This window comes from Homo sapiens, chromosome 6, assembly GCF_000001405.40.
Source record: "Homo sapiens chromosome 6, GRCh38.p14 Primary Assembly".
Classification (NCBI taxonomy): Eukaryota; Metazoa; Chordata; class Mammalia; order Primates; family Hominidae; genus Homo; species Homo sapiens.
The window spans coordinates 96812045-96833820 of NC_000006.12; the positions used below are offsets into that span (position 1 = coordinate 96812045).

The following is a 21776-nucleotide window of genomic DNA, read 5'->3' on the forward strand; positions in this document are numbered from 1 at the left end:
ACAAACCAAAAAGGAATATACAATAATCACACAAAGTGAGACAGGGTAGGGAAGAGCTTATTTAAAGTTATTTTTTATATAGGGCACATCATCATGGCATCAAAATTACCTTATTTGCAAGGCATATCTAACCTAAAACCTATATGCAATAAAGCTAAAGGAAAAAATGCTGTGTGTACATTTTAAGTATGAACCACAAGTAGTGTTCTATTTATAATGATGTTCCATTCCTAACATATTTCTAATTCTAACCACAATATTCACCACAAAAAAGAAGAATTTTCTCACTAATGTTCAAAGGAACACTTAGTTTTTCCATAGACATTTAAAAAATGAGATTATTAAGCACAAGGATTTATTTGCCTTCCTGTTACTTTTCCCCATAAATACTAAAAAGAAATTAAATGTCAGGAAGGGCTCTGGTTCAGAGAATATGCTAAGTGACTTCTGATGACAATCAAAACTGAAACTCAAGTGGCATGAAAGGTCAGCATTTAATAGAAGTGCAAATTAATTATAATTGAAGACTTTAAAAATGTATTTTTAAGTGGCTAATAGATTAACCTTTTAGAAATGCAAAAAGCAAAAGAAGTGATAAGTCCTATCGGTGATAGGTTTTGTTTATATTCCCTTTGTCTCCTACTTCTATTTCTTTTTATTTTTTTATTTTATTGATGCATAATATTTTGCCTATTCATGGGGTACATGTGAGCATTTGTTACATGTATAGAATGTGTAATAATCAAGTCGGGGTATCTGGAGTATCCATCATCTAGAGTATTTAACATTTCTATGTGTTGGGAACATTTCAAGTTCTCTCTTCTAATTAGTTTGAAATATAAAGAACATTGTTGCTAACTATAGTCATCCTACTCTGCTATTGAACATGAGAACTTCTACCTTCTATCTAACTGTATGTTTGTATCCATTAAACAACCTCTCTTCATCCCCTCTTCCTCTTCTGTTATCTTCCTAGCTCCTGATATCTATCATTCTATTCTCTACCTCCATGACATAGCTTCTTTAGCTCCCACATGAATAAGACATGTGGTACTTGTCTTTCTGTTCCTAGCCTATTTAATTTACCATAATGACCTCCAGTTCCATCCATATTGCTGCAAATAACATGCTTTCATTTTTTATGGCTAAATAGAACTCCACTGTGTACATATACATGTTCTTTATCCCTTTGTCTGTTGATGGACATTTAGGTTGATTCCACATCTTTGCTATTGTGAATACTGCTATGATAAACATGCAACCACAGGTATCCTTGGATATATAAATTCCTTTTGCTTTGAATATATACCCAGCACTGAAATTGCTGGATTGTATGGTAGTTCTCCTCTTTGTTTTTAGAGAAAACTCCATACTGACCCAGTGGTCATTCAGGAGCATGTTTAATTTCCATATATTTGTAAAGTTTCCAAAGTTCCTCTTGTTATTGATTTCTACTTTTATTCCATTGTCATCTGCAAAGATACTTGATATGCTTTCAATTCTATTGAGATTTGCTTTGCATCCCAACACATGGTTTATCCTAGAAAAATGTTCCATGTGCTGATGAGAAGAATGTGTATTCTGTAGCTGTTGGGTGAAATACCCTGAAAATGTCTGTTAGGTCCAATCCAAGGTTTCTTTGTTAATTTTCTGTCTAGATTATCTAACGCTGAGAATGGGTTGTTGAAGTCCCCTACATAGTCTTTAGTCTCCCCTACAAGTTTGTTTTACTTTTGAGATGTCTTCGATTATTTGATCTTTATCTCTGAGCAGTGGCTATGATTATATATTCTCTGTCTCTGAGGAATAACTATGGTTTATTAACATAAGGGTGAGCCATAAAGATGGCATCATATGAACATCTGCATAAGACTACCTGATGATACTAAACTGGAGTAAAACAAAACCTTATGTAAAAAGTGGTATATTTGAAATGTAGGATATAAAAAAATTACTATAAAAATGCAACAAAAAAGAAAACAATTGTAGTATTGTTACTTCAAAGCAAAAGAAAAAAATACTTTTTGTAAATGACATTCAATGGTACTCAGAAAATAACCCACAGACTTGTTCAATCTCCAACTTTATATCTAATACATACAATATTATATATGTATAAAACCTTAAGTTTTCAAGCAAAGGAGGAAATGTAAATTATAGATGAGGAAGCTGAGCCACAAGGAAACTATGTAACTTGCCCAAGGTCACATAGCTGGTAAACAGTAGAGCGAGGATTGGAACTCAGGTAAAATTGCCTCTCGTCTTTGAGCCATCATTATATTAGGGGCAGAAAAAAAGCCTTATCCCAGAAAAAGAAAAAAAATTTCAGATGTGCAATTATTATAGCTACCAATTCTTAAATGTCTACCATGTACCAGACCTTAACATATATTATTGCTAATCCTGACAAACCACCCCAAAGACAGAAGTTATGTTCCCCATTTTCAAGAGAATTAAACCAAGGCTCAGAGGGCAATGTGCTGCCAATCACACAGCTGGTGGGAGGACCGTGATTAGAACCCAGGGCGTCCGGCTCCAAAGTTTCTGCTCTTTACAAAATGTTTTGCTGCTTCTCACATAACCTACAGAAGAGAACGGTACTTTCATTCCACTTAATATAGCAATTTGCAATGTTAAAAATGCTGTCCCTCATCCCTGGTCTAATACCTTGAGGGTTTTATTTTTAGACTAGCCTTCCCTAAAGGCTTCAAGTTTTCTGCAGAACACCATTCCCTGAGGGCCTGAGGCAGCATGAGAGCCAATAATGTGTTTTACAAAATGACCAAAAAAAAATGTAGGGCAGTGACTAAAACAAGGACATTTCTGTGAGTTATATCATACTTTCACAATTAATAGAGCCAAAATGTGGATAAGGAAAATTCCATTATCCCTTAATCTCAGACACAATTTTCATACTGCTGACTAAAAAATTAAACTGTTTAGATGATTTCTTGAAATCCAAACACTATGGATAAACTATGGGAATGAAGAATGTTTTAGATTTTCTAAATTTTTATGTGCATGCTTTAGAACTCTGAAATCAGTTTAAAGTGGTCTAACACTTCAACTCCTTCAAAATGCAACTGGTAAGGTTGACACTCACCATTTATATGAATGCTTCCAGGAGCGAGATAATTTAACTTCATGTGAGGAAGCCAAGACATATAATTCTCCTTTTAAATTTGTGGCGATTTATAAAACAGGCACTTTCTGATACATCACAAAGGAGAATTTGATCTTAAGTTAATGATTTGCATGGATGTGAGAAAGAAGATAACTCAAAATTGGAATGGCTCTGATTCTACTTATAGGAAGTATCCAAAATAGTCAAACTCATAGAAGCAGAGAATAAAATGGTAGTTGCCAGGGACTGGGGAGAGGGAGAAATGGGGAAGTGTTCTTCAGTGGTTATAAAGTTTTTTATGCAGGATGAATAAGTTCTAAAAATCTTCTGTACAACACAGTACCTGTATTAACAACAGAGTATTGTGTACTTTAATATACATTAAGAGGACAGATCTGATATTGTGTTCTTACAAGAACACACACATACAAAACAACATGAGGAAAATTTTGGAGGTGATGAATATATTCAGTGCCTTGGCTGTGGTGAAGATATCGCAGGTGTACACGTATGTCCAAACTCTTCAGGATGTATATGTTAAATGTGTACAAATTTTTGTATATCATATATATCAATAAAGCTAAAAAATGAGATGCCTCATGAACTTAGACTTGAGGTGATGCTCCTAAATGAAATTATATAAATCAATAACTAGACAAACTTTCATACAGATAAATCACTGAACACAGCGTGACATAAGAAAACATTCCTGAAGGGTTTCCTGCTCTTCTCTCTACATTATTTTTGAAATGCGATCCGCTTCATGTTAATATGACCTGTACCACATACCAGATACCAAGACAGAATACAAAAGAAAAGGGGATACAACCCTTGCCTTCAAAAATATTAAAACATTATAAAGATTAATGAAAAAACTAATTATTCTGGTCTATTAATATAATATCTTCAAATGCATGGATTCTTATTTGTTAATACAGGCAATATTACACATTAAAAATTCTTAAAAATCAATGAATAATAATGTATATTAGCAAGTAAATCATAAATAGAAGACGCAAAAAAACCATTGTTCGAAACAGTGTTCAGTCTCATTCAAGTAAAAATGAGAATTCAAACATAATGGAATGTTAATTTTGTGCCTAGCTTTTCAAAGGTTTAAACAAGATGAAAATAATTCTAGCAAGTTGATACTCCACCAATGGGAATGTAAACTTACAGCAATTCAGGAAGCTATTTCAACAGCCTTAAAAACATTCCTAGAGAGCCTTAAAAACATTCCTAGAGACTTCCGCTTCTAGCAAATAAAGTCAAGCCTGTAGCAGACCAACACTCCCACCAAAAACAACCAAAAAAGCTGGATAACATTTTTAAATCTCTTTGAAGACATCTGAGAGCCACCAAAGCAGGGAGAACCTGAGAGGCTACGATCTGAGAGAAATGAAGTATAGAAAAGTGAGGCACTCTGCAATTCGTGTTATTTTTCACCTGAAGGCATGAGCTAATTCTGAAATGCTAGCTCAGAGGTTTTCTCAAGGCAGCTGAGAAACCGAGAGCCTGCAAAGTGGCAGCTGAAAGGATTAAAAGCTGCTGAAAAGCTTGAAAGTCTGGTAAAAGAGGCAGCTGAAATGCTGGGAAGCTAAGCAGAGCACAGTCTCAGTGGGCTGGAAGCTGGCGTTCTGGGTTCATGGAAAGGTTGGGGGAAACAACATCTGAAAGATGTCACTCTTGGAATAGGCATGAAGAAAAAAATTGAATAGCCCTCCAATATAACAACCAAATATCAGCCTCTAATTAGCTCGTTTAAGTTTCTTAATATTTATTAAGTTTCCAAATCAAATATATTTTTAAGGCACAAACAGGATGTCAAAAGCACTGGCTATAAAGAGTGATAAACTCAGCAAAAGGTGAAATTATAAGAACAGAAAGGCAAGCCAAAAGGCAGAAGACATTTGCAATCACTAAAGACAAAGGACTCATCCTTTGAATATATATATTTAAATGGCAACAAATTGATAAGAAAAAGATAAACAACCCAGGCTGAAAGATAGGCAAAGGATTTGAACAAAAACTTCACAAACATATCCAAACGGCCAAAACAAAACAGTACAAAACAAAATCCACAACATATGTAAACATGTTCTTCCTCAACACTCATCAGGGAGATGCAAATAAAAATCACAATAAAATAAAAATCCAACAGAATGACTAAAGTTGAAAATATATATATATATAAAATATACCAAATACTGACCAGGATGTGGTACACATGAAACTTTCATTCATTGGGAGTGGAAATGGGTAACTAGATAACAGTATGCTGTCTATGGTAAATTTGTAGTTATGCCTGCTCTGTTACCCAGTAATCCCACTCCTGAGTAATGAACAGAAATACTTAGATTTGTACACCAAAAGTTAAATACAAGTATATTCCTAGAAGCATTATTTGAAATATTAGAACAGCAAAAATGTCCATCAATAGAACTGATAAATCAACGTCATTATATTCATATAATCAAATACTACACAGCCACGAAAATGGGCAAAACTACTATAACGCAACACATGGATGAATCTCACAAATATAACATTGAACAAAAGACAGACACAAATATGTATATACAATATTATTCAATTTATATAAAATTCAAACACAGGCAAAATTCATCTATGTTAGTAGTTTATTGGTTACCTTTGGGGAAGAGTAGGAGTTATGACTGGGAAAGGGTTTCTGGGAGGTTCATATATTCATTTTTTTTTTCAAATTTCACTGAACTGTGCCCGTATGATTGGTGCGTCTTTCTGCTTGTTATGTAAAACTTCAAAAAGTTTATGAAAAATATTAAAACTTTCTAGAAATTTTACTTCTCAGGATCCATACTTAAGAAATAATTTTATACTACCCAAAGCAATCTATAGATTCACAGCAATCTCTCAAAATGCCAATGATATTCTTCATAGAAATATTTTTTAAAATGCTAAAATTTCTATGGAGCCACAGAAGATCCCTTATAGCCAGAGTAATCCTGAGCAAAAAGTTAAAAAAATTTCATGGCCAGGCGTGGTGGCTCAGGCCTGTAATCCCAGCACTTTAGGAGGCCAAGGCGGGTGGATCACCTGAGGTCAGGAGTTCAAGACCAGCCTGGCCAACATGGTGAAAACCCCTCTTTACTAAAAAATACAAAAATTAGCCAAGTGTGGTAGTTCGTGTCTGTAATCCCAGCTACTTGGGAGGCTGAGGCAAGAGAATCGCCTGAACCCAGGAGGCAGATGTTGCAATGAGCTAAGATCGCAGCACTGTACTCCAGCCTGGGCAACAAGAATAAAACTCCCATTCAAAAAAAAAAAATTTTCATGTACGTCATAGTAAGAAATTTGAAGCAATCCTAAGGTTTACATTTAAAAAACAGAATTATGTGATTTATAAAATAGAATGCTGTACAGCAACTAAAACTGTTTTTGAAGAGTATTTAATGACACATGAAAATATTATGCTAGCATATTGAGTGAAGAAAAGCTGTATACATAATATGTTCCCACTATGTTTTGAAATTTTTTTCAAAGAATTAGAAGAGAACATATCAAAATATTAACACACATCAGGGTGAACAGGCAACCCAAGAATGGGAGAAAATTTTTGCAATCTACCCATCTGACAAAAGTCTAATATCCAGAATCTACAAGGAACTTAAACAAATTTACAAAAAGAAAACAAATCAAAAAGTGGGTAAAGGATGTGAACAGACAATTGTCAAAAGAAGACATTTATGCAGCCAACAAACATAGGAAAAAAAGCTCATTATCACTGGTGATTAGAGAAATGCAAATCAAAACCACAAGATACCATCTCACACCAGTTAGAATGGTGATCATTAAAAAGTCAGGAAACAACAGATGGATGCTGGAGAGGTTGTGGAGAAATAGGAACGCTTTTACAGTTGGTGGCAGTGTAAATTAGTTCAACTATTGTGGAAGACAATGTGGTGATTCCTCAAGGATCTAGAACCAGAAATACCATTTGACCCAGCAATCCCACTACTGGGTATATACCCAAAGGATTATAAATTATTCTGCTATAAAGACACATGTACACATATGTTTACTGCAGCACTATTTACAATAGCAAAGACTTGGAACCAAACCAAATGCCCATCAATGATAGACTAGATAAAGAAAATGTGGTATATATACACCATGGAATACTATGCAGCCATAAAAATGAATGAGTTTATGTCCTTTGCAGGGACATGAATGAAGCTGGAAACCATCATTCTCAGCAAACTAACGGGAACAGAAAACCAAACACAGCATGTTCTCACTCTTAAGTGGCAGCTGAACAATGAGAACACATGGAGACAGGGAGGGGAACATCACACACTGGGGCCTGTCGGGGTGCAGGGGGACAGGGGAGGGAGAGCTTTAGGACAAATACCTAATGCATGCAGGGCTTAAAACCTAAATGGGGGTTGATAGGAGCAGCAAACCACCATGGTACATGTATATCCATGTAATAAACCTGCATGTTCTGCACATGTATCCCAGAACTTAAAGTAAAATAAAATAAAAAGAAAGAAAAAGAAAAACCCAACTAAATTGCCAAAAAAAAAACAAAAAAACAAAAAAAAACGGGTAGATCACGAGGTCAGGGATGGCTGGCTAACATGGTGAAACCCTTCTCTACTAAAAATACAAAGACAAAATTAGCTAGGCGTGGTGGCGGGCGCCTGTAGTCCCAGCTGCTCTGGAGGCTGAGGCGGGAGAATGGCGTCGACCCGGGAGGCGGAGCTTGCAGTGAGCTGATATCGCTCACTGCACTCCAGCCTGGGCAACACAGCGAGACTCTGTCTCAAAAAAAAAAAAAAAAAACAAACAACAACAAAAAAAATTCGACCAGTAGGACAGTCTGTGGTACATTCTCCTCCAGCTTTTCTTTCCCTTACTTTCCAAATCTTGTAAAATGAGTAGTTTTCTTATAGTCAGAAAATAAAATCTTCTTGAACATTTCATATTATAAATATATGTTAATATTTGCTTTCAATGATCATAAAACATATTCCTTAAAAAAAACTCTGTTCCTTAGGAAATACGTTAAGACAGCAAAATAAGCATTCTCCGGCCTATCTCATCATGCCTGCTGTCCATGGGTAAAACAAAATAAGGTATTTAGACATTTAGAAACTAGTGACAGGAGGAACTACTCAAATGGCAATTGTTAAGTAAGTGTTACTATTATTATGCAAGAAATGTATTCTCATCGGTAAAGGGCACATGTTTCTTATGAAAATAGGATTTTGTTATCCCCTAAAGAATAAAATTTAAATATGGTGCTTTACCTAGTCACTACTTTTAAGTGTACCCCATATTTCCTGCAATTACTTACCTAGTAATCTAAAAAAACAGTCTTTATCTTTTTATATTAATCTCTAGGTCACCTTTCTGGTTTCCACAAATATTACCTCAGAATCAGTGTAATTTTTTTAAAAAAAGCAAAATGAGCCAAAAAAGCATGCTTATTTTGTTATTTTCATGCTATTCCACGAGAATTTTTTTTTCATCCAGCTTTAGCATTGAACTGAATTTCTGGGTAGAGCTCAGCATGCCACTCACTTTTTTAACCTGTTCCCTTAGCAACTCTGTACTCATCTGACCCCATATGCCTATCTTCACAATTAGACATTTAATTTTTCCTTAATCTACCACAAATTTCCAAGGACTTAGAATTAGTTTATCTAATCAAAACTAAATGTTTATACCATCATATCAGTGGTATTTCTTCTAAAAATGCTGGTACTCTCTTCACTGCCTCTCACTACAAATGATTTTGGCGTGTTCTTTGGAGGGAATAAAAAGTCAGTCGGGGAAACAATAGTCTATCTATTGAGCACTCCCACACTCTTCCTCCAGAAGCTCATTGTGCCCACCTTGGCAGTGGTCAGAGGGCCTGGTTGCTATTTACAAACTGTGTGTCACTGGGCAGGTTACTGAACCTCAGGTTTTTCATCAGAAAAATGGAGATGATCATAGTGCAGTTTAGCTCATGAAGCTATAGCAAAGATTAAGCGAGATAGCAAATGTCAAGTATTGACACATAGTGCTCAATACATACGCACTAGCAGTTTCACTTAAGTCAGAAAAGAAAATCACATCCTCTACAACACCAACCTTTCAGTGACATTTAGGATTCTACTCCTTCATCCTTGCAAATGACTATTTTTCCATACCTCACCTCAAACTGAGTTTAAACCTCTTTCTCACTTTAAGATTCTGCGCTGTGATTTTGATCAGATGCCTTCGTTTCTCTTCCTCTAACTCACCCTTTTATTTCAGAAAAGTGACTTTCAAATATCTCTTTTCAGAACAAAAAAAAGGTACAGCTTCTTTTGTCTTTTCACTACTTTAAACAGTGGCAGAATTCTATATAATTCTTACTCAACTTTCTAGGAATAGTCTACTACAACTATGCCCAGATTATTCCTCTATCCCCAGATGCAACTGTAATCTGACTTACTTGTTTTTCATAATAACACTTTTTGTTGCTGACTGTGATTATCCCTGAGAGCTCCAGCCAAGTCAATTCAACAAATAGGTCTCAGGCAACAATCATGTACCAAGACCATATATGACATGATGTCTACTAAAAACAAGTGAAAGACATACATATATATACCACGGTCTCCTCTTTCTTCCCACATCAGATAACATGACTATCTGAGATGGTTCAAGCATAATCTCTTGGCGTAACAGACACATCTGTTAGACTCCCTACCCTACCACCCTACCTCTCCCCCATCAACCAGGTACCTCGTTTCCAAGGATATAATAGAAATTTCATAGAACGTAGAATCAGAAGACCTTCACAACACCATCAGATACCTCAAATAACCTCATGATTGTATATACAACAGTCAACCATACACACACACACTTAAAAAAAAAAATCAAAGGATGGATCCTCAGTCCTTTGGTCTTGCACTATGTAAATGTAATGCATTACCATAGCAAATTCCAATAATGAACACAAAGAAAAATATAGAACTATGAAATTTTGTCATGAGTGGGAAACCAGAAAATAACACAAGGGAAACATCACTGAAATAAAGATCATTCTGCTCTAACGTACACCATTTCAAAATAGGATTGGTGAAGAGCAATGTTGACTCATCCTCAAAAAAAACGGCAAATCTGTTTTGACCTTGATTCACTGCTATGATCAAAATAATTATGGTTAACTTGGGAAGGTTCCGAAAAAAAGGTTCTAAAGGTCATACTAAAAATACTTAGAATTTTAAAATCTATGAAATAAGACTTCAGTTTTAGTATTCAAAGTGGCCACCAGATAAAGACAAAAGAAATGTTGACAGCGTCATCATGTGCCAACTGAAATTACCTTCACTTGCCATCTTTCCCTGATACTCAGTCTTCCACCACGCTATCCATGTATACTATATAAATCTTTGGCATATACTTTTCAACTTGACTTACACACTTCTTTAAATACATTTCCATCCTTCCCTTAACAAACAGTTGCTAAGCACCTGCTCTAAGCCAGCTTCTGACTAAGCACTGCTTACAATGGGAAACAAACTGGATATATCTCCTGATCTTATGTAACTTACAAGTTTATCAGGGAGACTCACACTAAATACATGGTAACTACTGGGTTATGCCATGATGTATGTTCTGTGAAGAAAAACTCAGGATGCTACAAGAGTGAAAAACAGTGAAAACATAATTCCTCATTTACAGTCATGTACTGTTTAATGACATTTTAGCTAAGGGCAGACCACTATATAAGATTATAATGGAGCTGAAAAATTCCTTTCATAAGATTATAATGGAGCTGAAAAATTCCTATCACCTAATGACATCGTAGCCATCATGGCTTTGTAGTACAACACAATATTCATGTGTTTGCAGTGATGCTGGCATAAATGAACCTTCTGTGCTGCCAGTTGTATAAAAGTCTAGCACATACAGCACATAATACTGAACAAACATAATAAAGGATGTTACTGCTTTATGTATTTACTACTCTATATTTTTAATTTTTATTTTAGAGTACTACTTATTAAGATTTCTAAAAGTTAACATAAAACAGCCTCAAGCACATCCTTCAGGAAGTATTCCAGAAGAAGGCATTGTTATCACAGGAGATGACGGCTCCATGTGTTATTGCCCCTGAAGACCTTCCGGTGGGACAAGCTATAGAAGTGGAAGACAGTCATATTGGCCCTGTGTAGGCCTAAGTTATTGTGTGTGTTTGTGTCTTAGTTAACAAAAAAGCTTAAAAGTTAACAAAATTTTAATAGAAAAAGGCATATAGACTAAAGATATAATGAAAACATTTGCATACAAATGTACAATGCATTCATGTTTTAAGATGTTATTACAAAAAATGAAAAAGTTTTAAGAAATTTAAAAGTGTATAAAGTAAAAAATTTACAGTAAGGTATTGAAGAAATTTTAAAAATAAATTTAGTGTTACCTAGGTATATTGTGTTTATAAAGTCTACAGTGGTGTACATTAATATCCCAGACTTTCACGTTCACTTACCACTCACTCATTGACAGAGTAATCTTCCATCCTGCAAGCTCCATTCATGGTAAGTGCTCTATATGGGGTACCATTTTTTCTCTTTTACACCATATTTTTACTGTACCTACGTTTAGATATATAAATGCTTACAGTTGTGCTACAATTGCCTACAGTATTCAATACAGTAACATGCTTTACAGGTTTGTAGCCCAGAGACAATAGCCTACACCATAATATAGCCTAGGTGTAGAGCAGGCTTACCATCTAGGCTTGTGTAAGTGCACACTATGACGTTAACACAATGAAGAAATTGCCTCATGACTCACTTCTCAGAACATTTATGTGTACATGTTTTCTTATAACACTCTCTAAATCTCATGCTCTATGATAGTATGGTATTATCCACTAAGATGAATCTCTAAGTAGTAGGCTAAAGACTAGTGTATTTTAGTCTTGGAAGTTATAGTTTATTTGTTATAGTTTGGTAGGCAAAGAGTGGGAAAGAATAGGTCCTGGGGAATAAGAGCAGAAAGAAAATAAATAAAGACCAAAAACAGATGTCTTTCACTATAATAGATAAATTTTTACAATATGCATGTGGTCCTGAAAAAAAGTCTTCTAAAATCAAATTGCTGGCAAACCATTTTAAATTCAAGAATATTTAATGTTTCTTGAAACCTCACTAGCAGAAAGACTCTACTGAATCCTGCTATAAAGCAGAATTCATCTAAACAAAATCTAACTCCTCTAAAACAATCCCATTTCTACTATTTCTAAATTTTAATATTCAGTCAAGTTTCCTGTGCAACCAACAAATGGAAAGGACTACTCCAAGTAAAAGGGCTACATAATTATCATTCTAAATTCAAAGTACTGCATGTCACCTACCAACATAAACCCTGCTCACTCCCCACCAAAAATACGCCTTAGCAAAAAAAAAAAAAAGTCTTAAAACCTGCACTATTCATTTTGAACTTTTAAAAAAATGAAAAAAAAAAAAAATGATAAAATGGCTGTGTTCTTAACACCAAAGAACAATTTATCATCATGCACCACAGTCACAAGGGAGAAAGGGTCCAGTGGGAGGTTGTGGTGTTTGGTTGTTACTGGGTTTCCCACTGATAGTGTCGTGAGTTATTGTCCCCACATAGTAAGACACCTGCCACTAGTCTTCTAGTTCTCTGCTCAAAGATTAAAGCAACACTAAAAGCTTTGCAAGATTACAAAGAGCTGACGCAACTGATATTAAGACTGGTAAGACCAAAGGCCCATAGGAAATTCAATGGCTCACCGTGCACACAATAGTCAGAAACACAATTCCTGGATTTTCTCTCAAACCAAAGGTGCAGAAACAAAAGTATGAAATATTGTTTATAAATATCACTGCTTAAACTTATGTAAAGTTTTTCCATTTGTATTATACCTCACTCATGCTCAATCCTCATTTTATTTCTTCTAGCAAATAGGGCCCATGAGAGATTGACTAACACCAGAAAGTGATGTGTATATGTGTATGTATGTGTATACTCAATATATATTCAATTAGGGCGGGAACCACTGCAACAATGTAGCCCAAATGCTGAGTTTGTATAATAGGTAATGAAACAAATGTGAAAATTCTCATATGCAGAATATTTATTACACTGGAATTGAGCAGGAAAAAAATCAGACTTGAACATAGGGTCTGGGAGAAACAACATTCAGTGAAATGATCAACTCTCAAGTTTGTATAAGATAAAAAAGAAAATTCTCCCTCCTACAAGGGCCACAAACTGAATGGATTCTTTATAAAATGTGGCTTTTGATATGGAGTGTCTTCTACCTACTTAAAAAAAATAGCTACTAGAGGGACTGTTTTCAGGAACTTTATTCCAACCTAGAATCTAGATATGAGCAAAGATCTTACCAAAGTGAGATTCTTTTATGTATGCTTCAAAGATTATTTCCATTTTGGTGCCTGTTTACTCAAGGTGAGGAAAAGTAAAAGGACAAAAAGACTTTAAAACTGAAAATGTAAAAAGAGCACAGAAAATAGTAAAAGCTTAATTTTATGACATGGAAGCTTAATTTTAGTCCATAATCACCTGATGAATGGAATCATTCCCCAAAAATAATCAAGCTAATTACCTTAGTCTTTTTTTTTATTTATTCAGCTTCATTTACTACTATACTTGCTTTTATTGTTAACCTACAGCAACTGAGTATTGAGAGATATAATGCTGAAGTTCTTCAACTCTTTCTAGTAACTAACTGTTCATCATAACCAAGGCTGCATCCACATCACCATATCATGTAGGATTAAAAGTAAAAATTTGAGGATGTTATAAAAACTAAAATATAAAAAATAAAAAGAATAAAAACAAACATTTCTTTAAAATGTTTACCAAGATGTACCATTTCAAATAAGCATAAAATAACTATTCATTTTTAAAAGTGAAGTACCCAGAAGAACCCTGCAGTCTGCCATCTTTAACTTGCTTTTGAGAATATAAATAAGGAATCTGTGAACCATGGGTGGCTTTTTAACTTTACCTACTACCATTTTAAAGGCAAAGCCTAGATATATGAAGGAACAGAAAGCTAAATGTGACTGGCAGTGTCTTTCCAGCTGGAAGATGAAACCAAACTTAAAACAAGGAGCTGGTAATAACTTTCTAAAAAATAAAATACAAAACTAAATACTAAATGACTGTAAACAAAATGAAATTTGAGACTCAAGAACAGAAAGTGCTGACAACAACATCATATACAGAAATTTCTAATTTATTAACAAAGAAAAATGTCAAATTAAAAATTGAAATTAAAAAGAGAAAGGTATTTTGCTATCATATTGTAATACATTAATGTCTGCTTTTTCTTTTCAAAAGCAAACACTCTACAGTAAGATTAGTTAAGGTCTGCTTATTAACCTGAATAACAAACATATTCTATTTTATACATGTTTATGATCCCAGAAATAAAATAGTGTCTTTAGTATAGTCAAATTAAAAGCATTTGAGTTGCGATTACAGAATTAGAATATTTGTCAGAAGACCTCAATGGCAACCAGGGACTTCATGGGGCCAATATTTGCTAGGGTAAAAGTGAACAAAAAATAAACTCTACCATGTCAAAAGAAAACGGAAATAAAAATTATATTTTATTGCATGAAGAAAATACATCATGGAAAAAAGAAAATAATCTCTCCCAAAAGATCTGTAACCACAAGGTACATTTTAAGAAATAAAGCATCATCAAACAGAAATCTGATTTAAAATGTGCCGAAGTCAGTACAGCACCCAAGCTAGCAGGCAACAGCAAATGTATTTCCCCTCTGGAGGAACTCACCTTCATCATAGGCCTGAAATAATTACCACAAAGTTCCAAGGCAAGTGAACACAGTCTAAAAAAAAAAAAAAACCACAAAAACCTCAAAATAAAGCAAAATAAAGCAACATGAGTGATTAAGGGCAAGGGGAAAAAAAGACAAACTCACAAAAGACTTCAGTTATGAAAATTATTAGACAAAGAATATAAAAATAATAAATGGTTAGAATTATGACCAGAAGACAAGCAGATTTGAAAATAAAGTTCCATATATGAAAAATATAACTGATATTAAAAACTAAATCGACAAAGTGGCGTATTAGACATAGTTGAAGTGAATAAACTGCAAGTTAGAACATAAGAAATTTTTCCAAATACAATCAAGCGAAAACAATGAAAGATAAAAGAGATGAACTAAGGAAGAAAAACATAGAAAGTCTACCAGACATGGAATTGGAGTTCCAGAAGATCATAAAATTAATGAGAAAATATTCAAAAGGATTGTAAATAGAAGTTTCCAGAATTCCTGAAAAATGCTAGTCCTCAATGTAGCCTATCTAATGCCAAATAAGAGATGTTAAAATTCATACCCAAAAACATCAGATCAAAAATTCAGAATAGACAGAGATAATATCTTCAAGGAGAAAGAGAGTATCTTCAAAAGATCTTAGAAGGAACCAGAGTTTGGAAAGATAGATTCCCTGACAAAGAAAAAAATGAGCTTGACTGCTTTATTCTCAATGATAATAATAAAATTCAGAAGACAATGAAATGATATTTTTGATACTTCCTTTCAGCAAATTAAATTAAATTAAAAGGATTGTCACAAACAAAAATCTCTCTCTCTCCCTCTTCTCTCTTTCACACATACACACACACACTCAGTAAAGGAAAATTAAAGGATATATGTCAGGCAAAAAAGAAATGATCCCAGATAGAAGGTCTGATAGACAAGAAGAAACTGGGTGGAAAGATAATAATGAATAAAGAACTAAATATAACAGATACTGTATAAAGCAATAAAAGTAATTTCTAACTTGAGAGAGAAAAAACAGGCTAGAACTAAAATACTCAACAACAATGACATGCAAGTTGGAGGAAGGTATCATAAGAGTTAAACAATTCCTAAGAAATAAAATGCCACAGACTGGGTGGCTTGAACAATAGAAATTTATTTTCTCACAGTTCTGGGGGCTAGAAGTCCAAGATCAAGGTACTATCGGGATGCATTTCTGGTGAGGCCTCTCTTCCTGGTTTGTAGACACGTATGATCTTACATGGCCTTCCCTCTGTGTATGCAGAGGGAGAGAGAGATCTCTGTACCTCCACAGAGATCTTATTGGATCAGGGCCCTACCCTTATAGTCTTATTTAATCTTCATTACCTCCTTATAGGCCCTATCTCCAAATATAGTCATATTGGGGATTAGGGCTTCAGCATATGAATTTTGGGGGATACAATTCAATTCCGTAATAGAAGGCAAAGATATTAACTTTAGACTAGAAAGAGTATATATTAAAATTGTCTGGGTAACCACTAAAATAATAGATGTAGAACTTATAGGTAATCTCCTGACCCCCCAAATAAAAACAGTAAAAAAAAAAAAAAAATGGTAGGGGCAGAGGGTCAGTCTATCCAAAAGAAGGCAAGAAAGGAAAGAAGACAAAGAAAAAGCAGAATAGAAAATACATAATAATATGATAAATAAATCCAAGTCAGTCTTCATTCTAAATATAAAGAGACTAAACTCTCCAGTTAAATGCAAAGATCCAGCTATATGCTATTTACAAGAGACACATCTAAAATCATAAGGATATAGATCCAACTTTAAAGCCAACAAGTAGGGAAAGGTGTGTCAAGCCCATCATAATCTATAGGGGACCCTTCATCGTTGTATTACTATCAAAGAAAAAGAGACTTTAATTCAAACAATACTATTAGAGATACAGAAGGTATGACATATGACAAAAGGGTTAATTTCCCACAAAAATATTTAAAAATCTAAACTTGTATGTATCTAATAATAAACCTCAAAAACATATAAAGTAAAAGGTGAATTAACCAGATGAAAATAATAAATCCATAATTATAATCTCTCAGTAATTAAATGATCAAGTAGATAAAAACATGAAGAAGGATAAAGATTTAAATAGCACATTTAAAATTTTCATCTTATAGATACACATGAAACTGCATCCAGTAGCTAGAGAATACACATCGTTTTAAAGCTACACGTGGAACACTTATTTGTAGAGAACACCTGCCATTGTCCATGGAGCTAACCTTAACAAGCATCAAAGAACTGGTAAGATACAGACCACATCCTCTGACCATATCACAAATAGTTTAGAGATCACCTACAACCACAACAAAATATGCTTAGAAATTAGGAAACATGATTCTCATTAACTCATGGATCAAACAAATCATAGAAAATACTTAGGACAGGCACGGTGGCTGATGCCTGGAATCCCCACACTTTGAGAAGCTAAAATGGGAAGATGGCTTGAGCCCATGAGTTCAAGACCAGCCTGGACAACACAGTGAGACTTCATCTCTACAAAAAATAAAAATAAAAAAAATTAGACAGGCATAGTGGCATGCACCTGTAGTCCCAGTTATTCAGGGGGCTGAGGTGAGGAGATCGTTTAAGCCCAGGAGGTCAAGGCTACAGTGAGCCATGATCACACCACTGCACTCCAGCCAGGACAAAGGAATGAGAACCTGTCTTAAAAACAAAGAAAATACTTAGAATTGTATGAAAACATAAGCAGCTAAAGTGATGATTCGAGATTTACACTCTGAACAAAGCAAGACTCACAACTGAGCTAAGCACTCAACCTAAAAAATTAGAATAAAGGCAGAAATAAACCTAAAAACATTGAAAAAAAAGAGTAAAAATGAACATGTTAGAAACAAATATATAAATATTTTCAAAGAAGCAACTTTCGGCTTTGCTGATCATCTCTACTATATATTATACATTATATACAATAAATTAACAAAAAACAAATTACAGCTACAAACAACACTGATGAATCTAAAAAATATAACAGTGAGCAAATGAAGCAAGCATAAAAGTATAAATATTTACAGTAGTAAAATTCCCTTTATGTAATAAAAGGCCAAAAATAACCACACAAAGAGGGTTGATAAAGCAAGAGTTGCCTCCATGTGAGGAATGAGTAGACAGAGGAATTCTAGGTGTATTTCTTAACTTTAGTAGTAAGTCCATGAGTATTCAATTTTTTAAACTTAAAGGTATGCTTCATGCAATTTTAAATGTACAATGTACATCACAATAAACATTCTTTAAAAGTAACATGGCAAAATCAGTTTCTAAAGGATATTCTGAACTTTCCTATAAACAGTGAACATCCACAAGACCTCATGAAAAAAAATTTACCTGTTTAACCTATCCATGCCTGTTACATTCCACACTGAAAATATAGTTCCTTTTATTTGAGATAGTAAAAAGGAAAATGATACTTACTTAAACAAAAAGCATATTTAGCACTTATCCAAGTGCTAAAACAGAGGTAAGTACCAGGTATTAAGGGAGCAGATAACCTAAGCCTGACTTAGAGAAAGAAGGAAAGGAAACTATTCCACAGTGAAGAAAACAATGTCTGGAAAACAGTAACTGTCCCAGAAAGCATATTTGGGAGTACATGCGTGTTTACCTTCTACATCCAGAACCAAATTCTAAAAATGAAAAATGCAAATATAACTGCATTCACTTGGAACATGTTTAATGGCTAAAGATAATTTTAGTTTCAAAAATAAAAGGGAGAATTTCTCTCTAAATTTAGCCATCAGTGTTTAAGTTTCTACCTTTTCCTGACTTTTGCTCATTTTATAGTTCTAGTTTTGTTACTAGAAGTGACCACATGCTTCTGTAGTAGCCAGAGTGATACTCAACTGATTTCAAAAGGTAATTTCTGGCTAAGACGAAGTTTCATATTATTGACAGAAAGAAAGAAAGATACAAACACATAGATAAAATATAGATGTAAACAAACACATGTGCATACACATATACACACAGCTCAAGGCTAAATTTTGTAAATTTAAACCTTCCAAATTTATTTTAAATGTTAAGAGTCCAGGAGTTGGCAGCAAAGTGCAGAAAACAGAATATTTTTACATCTTAGAGATGACTATACAGGAAATGACATTCATTCACTCTATTATTCCACAATTATGTATCAATATGTGTGGGCAAGAGGGCAGATGGCAATACAGTAAACTGAAATTGAAAAAGGGACAGCATTCTCATGGCACACTCAACTACTCTACCTGTTTAGCTGGAGGTAACATTTATAGTTATAACTGAGCACTCATGAATGGTTTTGGATTGAGGCTAAATCTCTATAAAATGGGGTTATTTCATTTGGAAAAAGCACTAGACAATCAGGTCTGGGTTCAAACCCTATCTGACTTGACTCTTTCATATTACACTTACCAAAAAAAAAAAAAACTGTAGAAGATAAACAGGGAAGACAATGATTAGCTCTACAGATTTTATATTGGGAATAATAAAGTGCCTTGAGGGCAATGAAAAATATCAATGCCCTTTTATTCCTCCCCAAAAATTCTATGTCTAGGGTTTTACCCAAAGGGAATAACCATAGGTATGTATAAAAATTGAGCTATAGCCAGGCACGGTGGTTCACACCTGTAATCCCAGCACTTTGGGACGCTGAGGTAGGCAGATCACTAGAGGTCAGGAGTTCAAGACCAGCCTAACCAACATGGTGAAACCCCCATCTACGAAAAATACAAAAATTAGCCAGGCACAGTGATCGGCACCAGTAATCCCAGGTACTCAGGAGGCTGAAGCATGAGAATCGCTTGAACCCGGGAGGCGGAGGTTGCTGTGAGCCGAGATCGCGCCACTGCATTCCAGCCTGGGCAACACGGTGAGACTCTGTCACAAAAAAAAAATAAAAAATAAATAAATAAAAATTTTTTAAAAATTGCACTGTAAGATAGTCATTACTGTACAGCTGAAGAAAAAAATTATATCCCCAATAAACTATGATACATCCATAGAATAATATTATTCAGAATTAAAAATGTTACAGATCATTCCATGACAAGGGAAGTGGTTCATCTTTACACGAAATTACAAAGCTATATATCTACACTAAGGGCCATTTTTAGAAATTAAAATATCATAGTATTTTTCTATATGTATATAAAAATAGATACCAAAATGCTAATAATAGTTATATCTGGGTATAATTCTTCTTTTCTTTTCTTTTTGCTTGTCTGGATTTTCTAAATTTTCTTTTCTTTCTTTTTCTTTTTGAAGACAGGGTCTTTCTCTGTTGTCCTGGCTGGAGTGCAATGGTATGATCACGGCTCACTGCAGCCTCAACCTCCAGGGCTCAAGCAATCCTCCCACTTTAGCTTCGCAAGTAGCTGGGACCACAACCACGTGCCACCATACCTGACTAACTTTTTTTTTTTTTTACTTTTTGGAGAGACGGGGTCTCCTCATATTTCCCAGGCTGGTCTCCAATTCCTGGGATCAAAGAATCCTCCCGCCTCGGCCTCCCAAAGTTCTGGGATTACAGGCATGAATGGCCATGCCTGGCCTCTAAATTTCCTATAATGAACAAGAAAAACTTCTAAAGTAAGAAAAAAATCTATTATATCATGAGGGTGGAGGGTAGGAGTAGGGACAGGATCAGGAAAAATAACTAATGGGTACAAGGCTTAATATTTGGGTGATGAAATAATCTGTACAACAGAGCCCCTCAGCACAAGTTTACCTATGTAACAAACCTGCACTTATACCCCTGAACTTAAATACAAGTTAAAAAAAAAACAGATTTGAAACCTTGAAATAGTAACTATACATGAACTATAGAAACAAAAATGAGAAGTTCCCAATATCACCAAACCTGTAAGTGGGTGCAAATTTATCCAATTTATAGAAAATGGAGAAACCTGATATTCAACTTATACTCGAAACTCCTATCATTCAAGAAATGAATAATGCAAAAGAAGGAAAAACATCTGAAGAAGTGCTGAGTAGGAACAAGCTGAGAGAACAGACTTTCTGCTAGTGATAGACAGTGTGAAACTTTAGAAGGTATCGTGGTTTATGCAGGGTTAATCAAAATGGAGTAGGAAGACTGTGTGCTTCAAATACAGGGGAAATGGAGTAAGTTACAATGATGAAAAGAATGGATCTTACTACAAAAGCCCACTTACCTGAACATTTTTCCCTCTTGAAGACAATGGATGTTATGCCTACACCCCAACTCCCTTTGTATCCACATCCTCCCAGGATCAACTTGAACAAAAAATCCTGCACCAGACAGCCTCAACCAAATACCATACCAAATACATGGGATAGATTTAATTGATTCTCAAATAATTTTCAGTTGAAACTCTTACTCTGATCTAAACTTCAGGCTTCTTTAAATGCCTACAAATGTTCTCTCTCTAAAGTTACCTACGCATTTGTTTTTGTTTTGTTTTATATTGTATAAAGTAGGAAGATGTAAAGATGCCTCATTTTAGGAGAAAGGTAACAGCTAGAATACAGAATCATGTCCCTTCTGCACCAGCCTCCCCAAGGAAGATCCTTAGAAGTTTCCACAGAAAAGAATTTGCCTAAAATATTTTTCAAATGCTTTAATAACATAGACTGAGCTAAGTCAATTGAGAGAAAGAAGTTAACCAAGAAGCTTTGCTCAAAAACCCTAAAAGGTATGTAAAGCTTATAACTATAATAACACATAAAGGTTTAAATTGAAAATGATGTTAAGAATTTGAAAATGATCTAAGAATCAATTAATATATATGCCAGGTGATTGGTACAGTATCTGGCTGGGG

General features: G+C 34.6%; 1 protein-coding gene across 8 annotated transcripts in view; it reads right to left on the bottom strand.

The window, feature by feature from the left end:
- GPR63 (G protein-coupled receptor 63) overlaps nucleotides 1-21776 on the bottom strand; it is a 43353-nt gene that overhangs the window by 17920 nt on the left and 3657 nt on the right. Inside the window, exon 2 of one of the 8 annotated variants that reach the window (NM_001143957.3) lies at nucleotides 19737-19854. The exons of the other annotated variants lie outside the window; for them this stretch is intronic. The gene's annotated coding sequence lies outside the window, so the exon portion shown is untranslated. The remainder of the gene's footprint in view (nucleotides 1-19736; nucleotides 19855-21776) is intronic. 8 annotated transcript variants of the gene reach the window in all.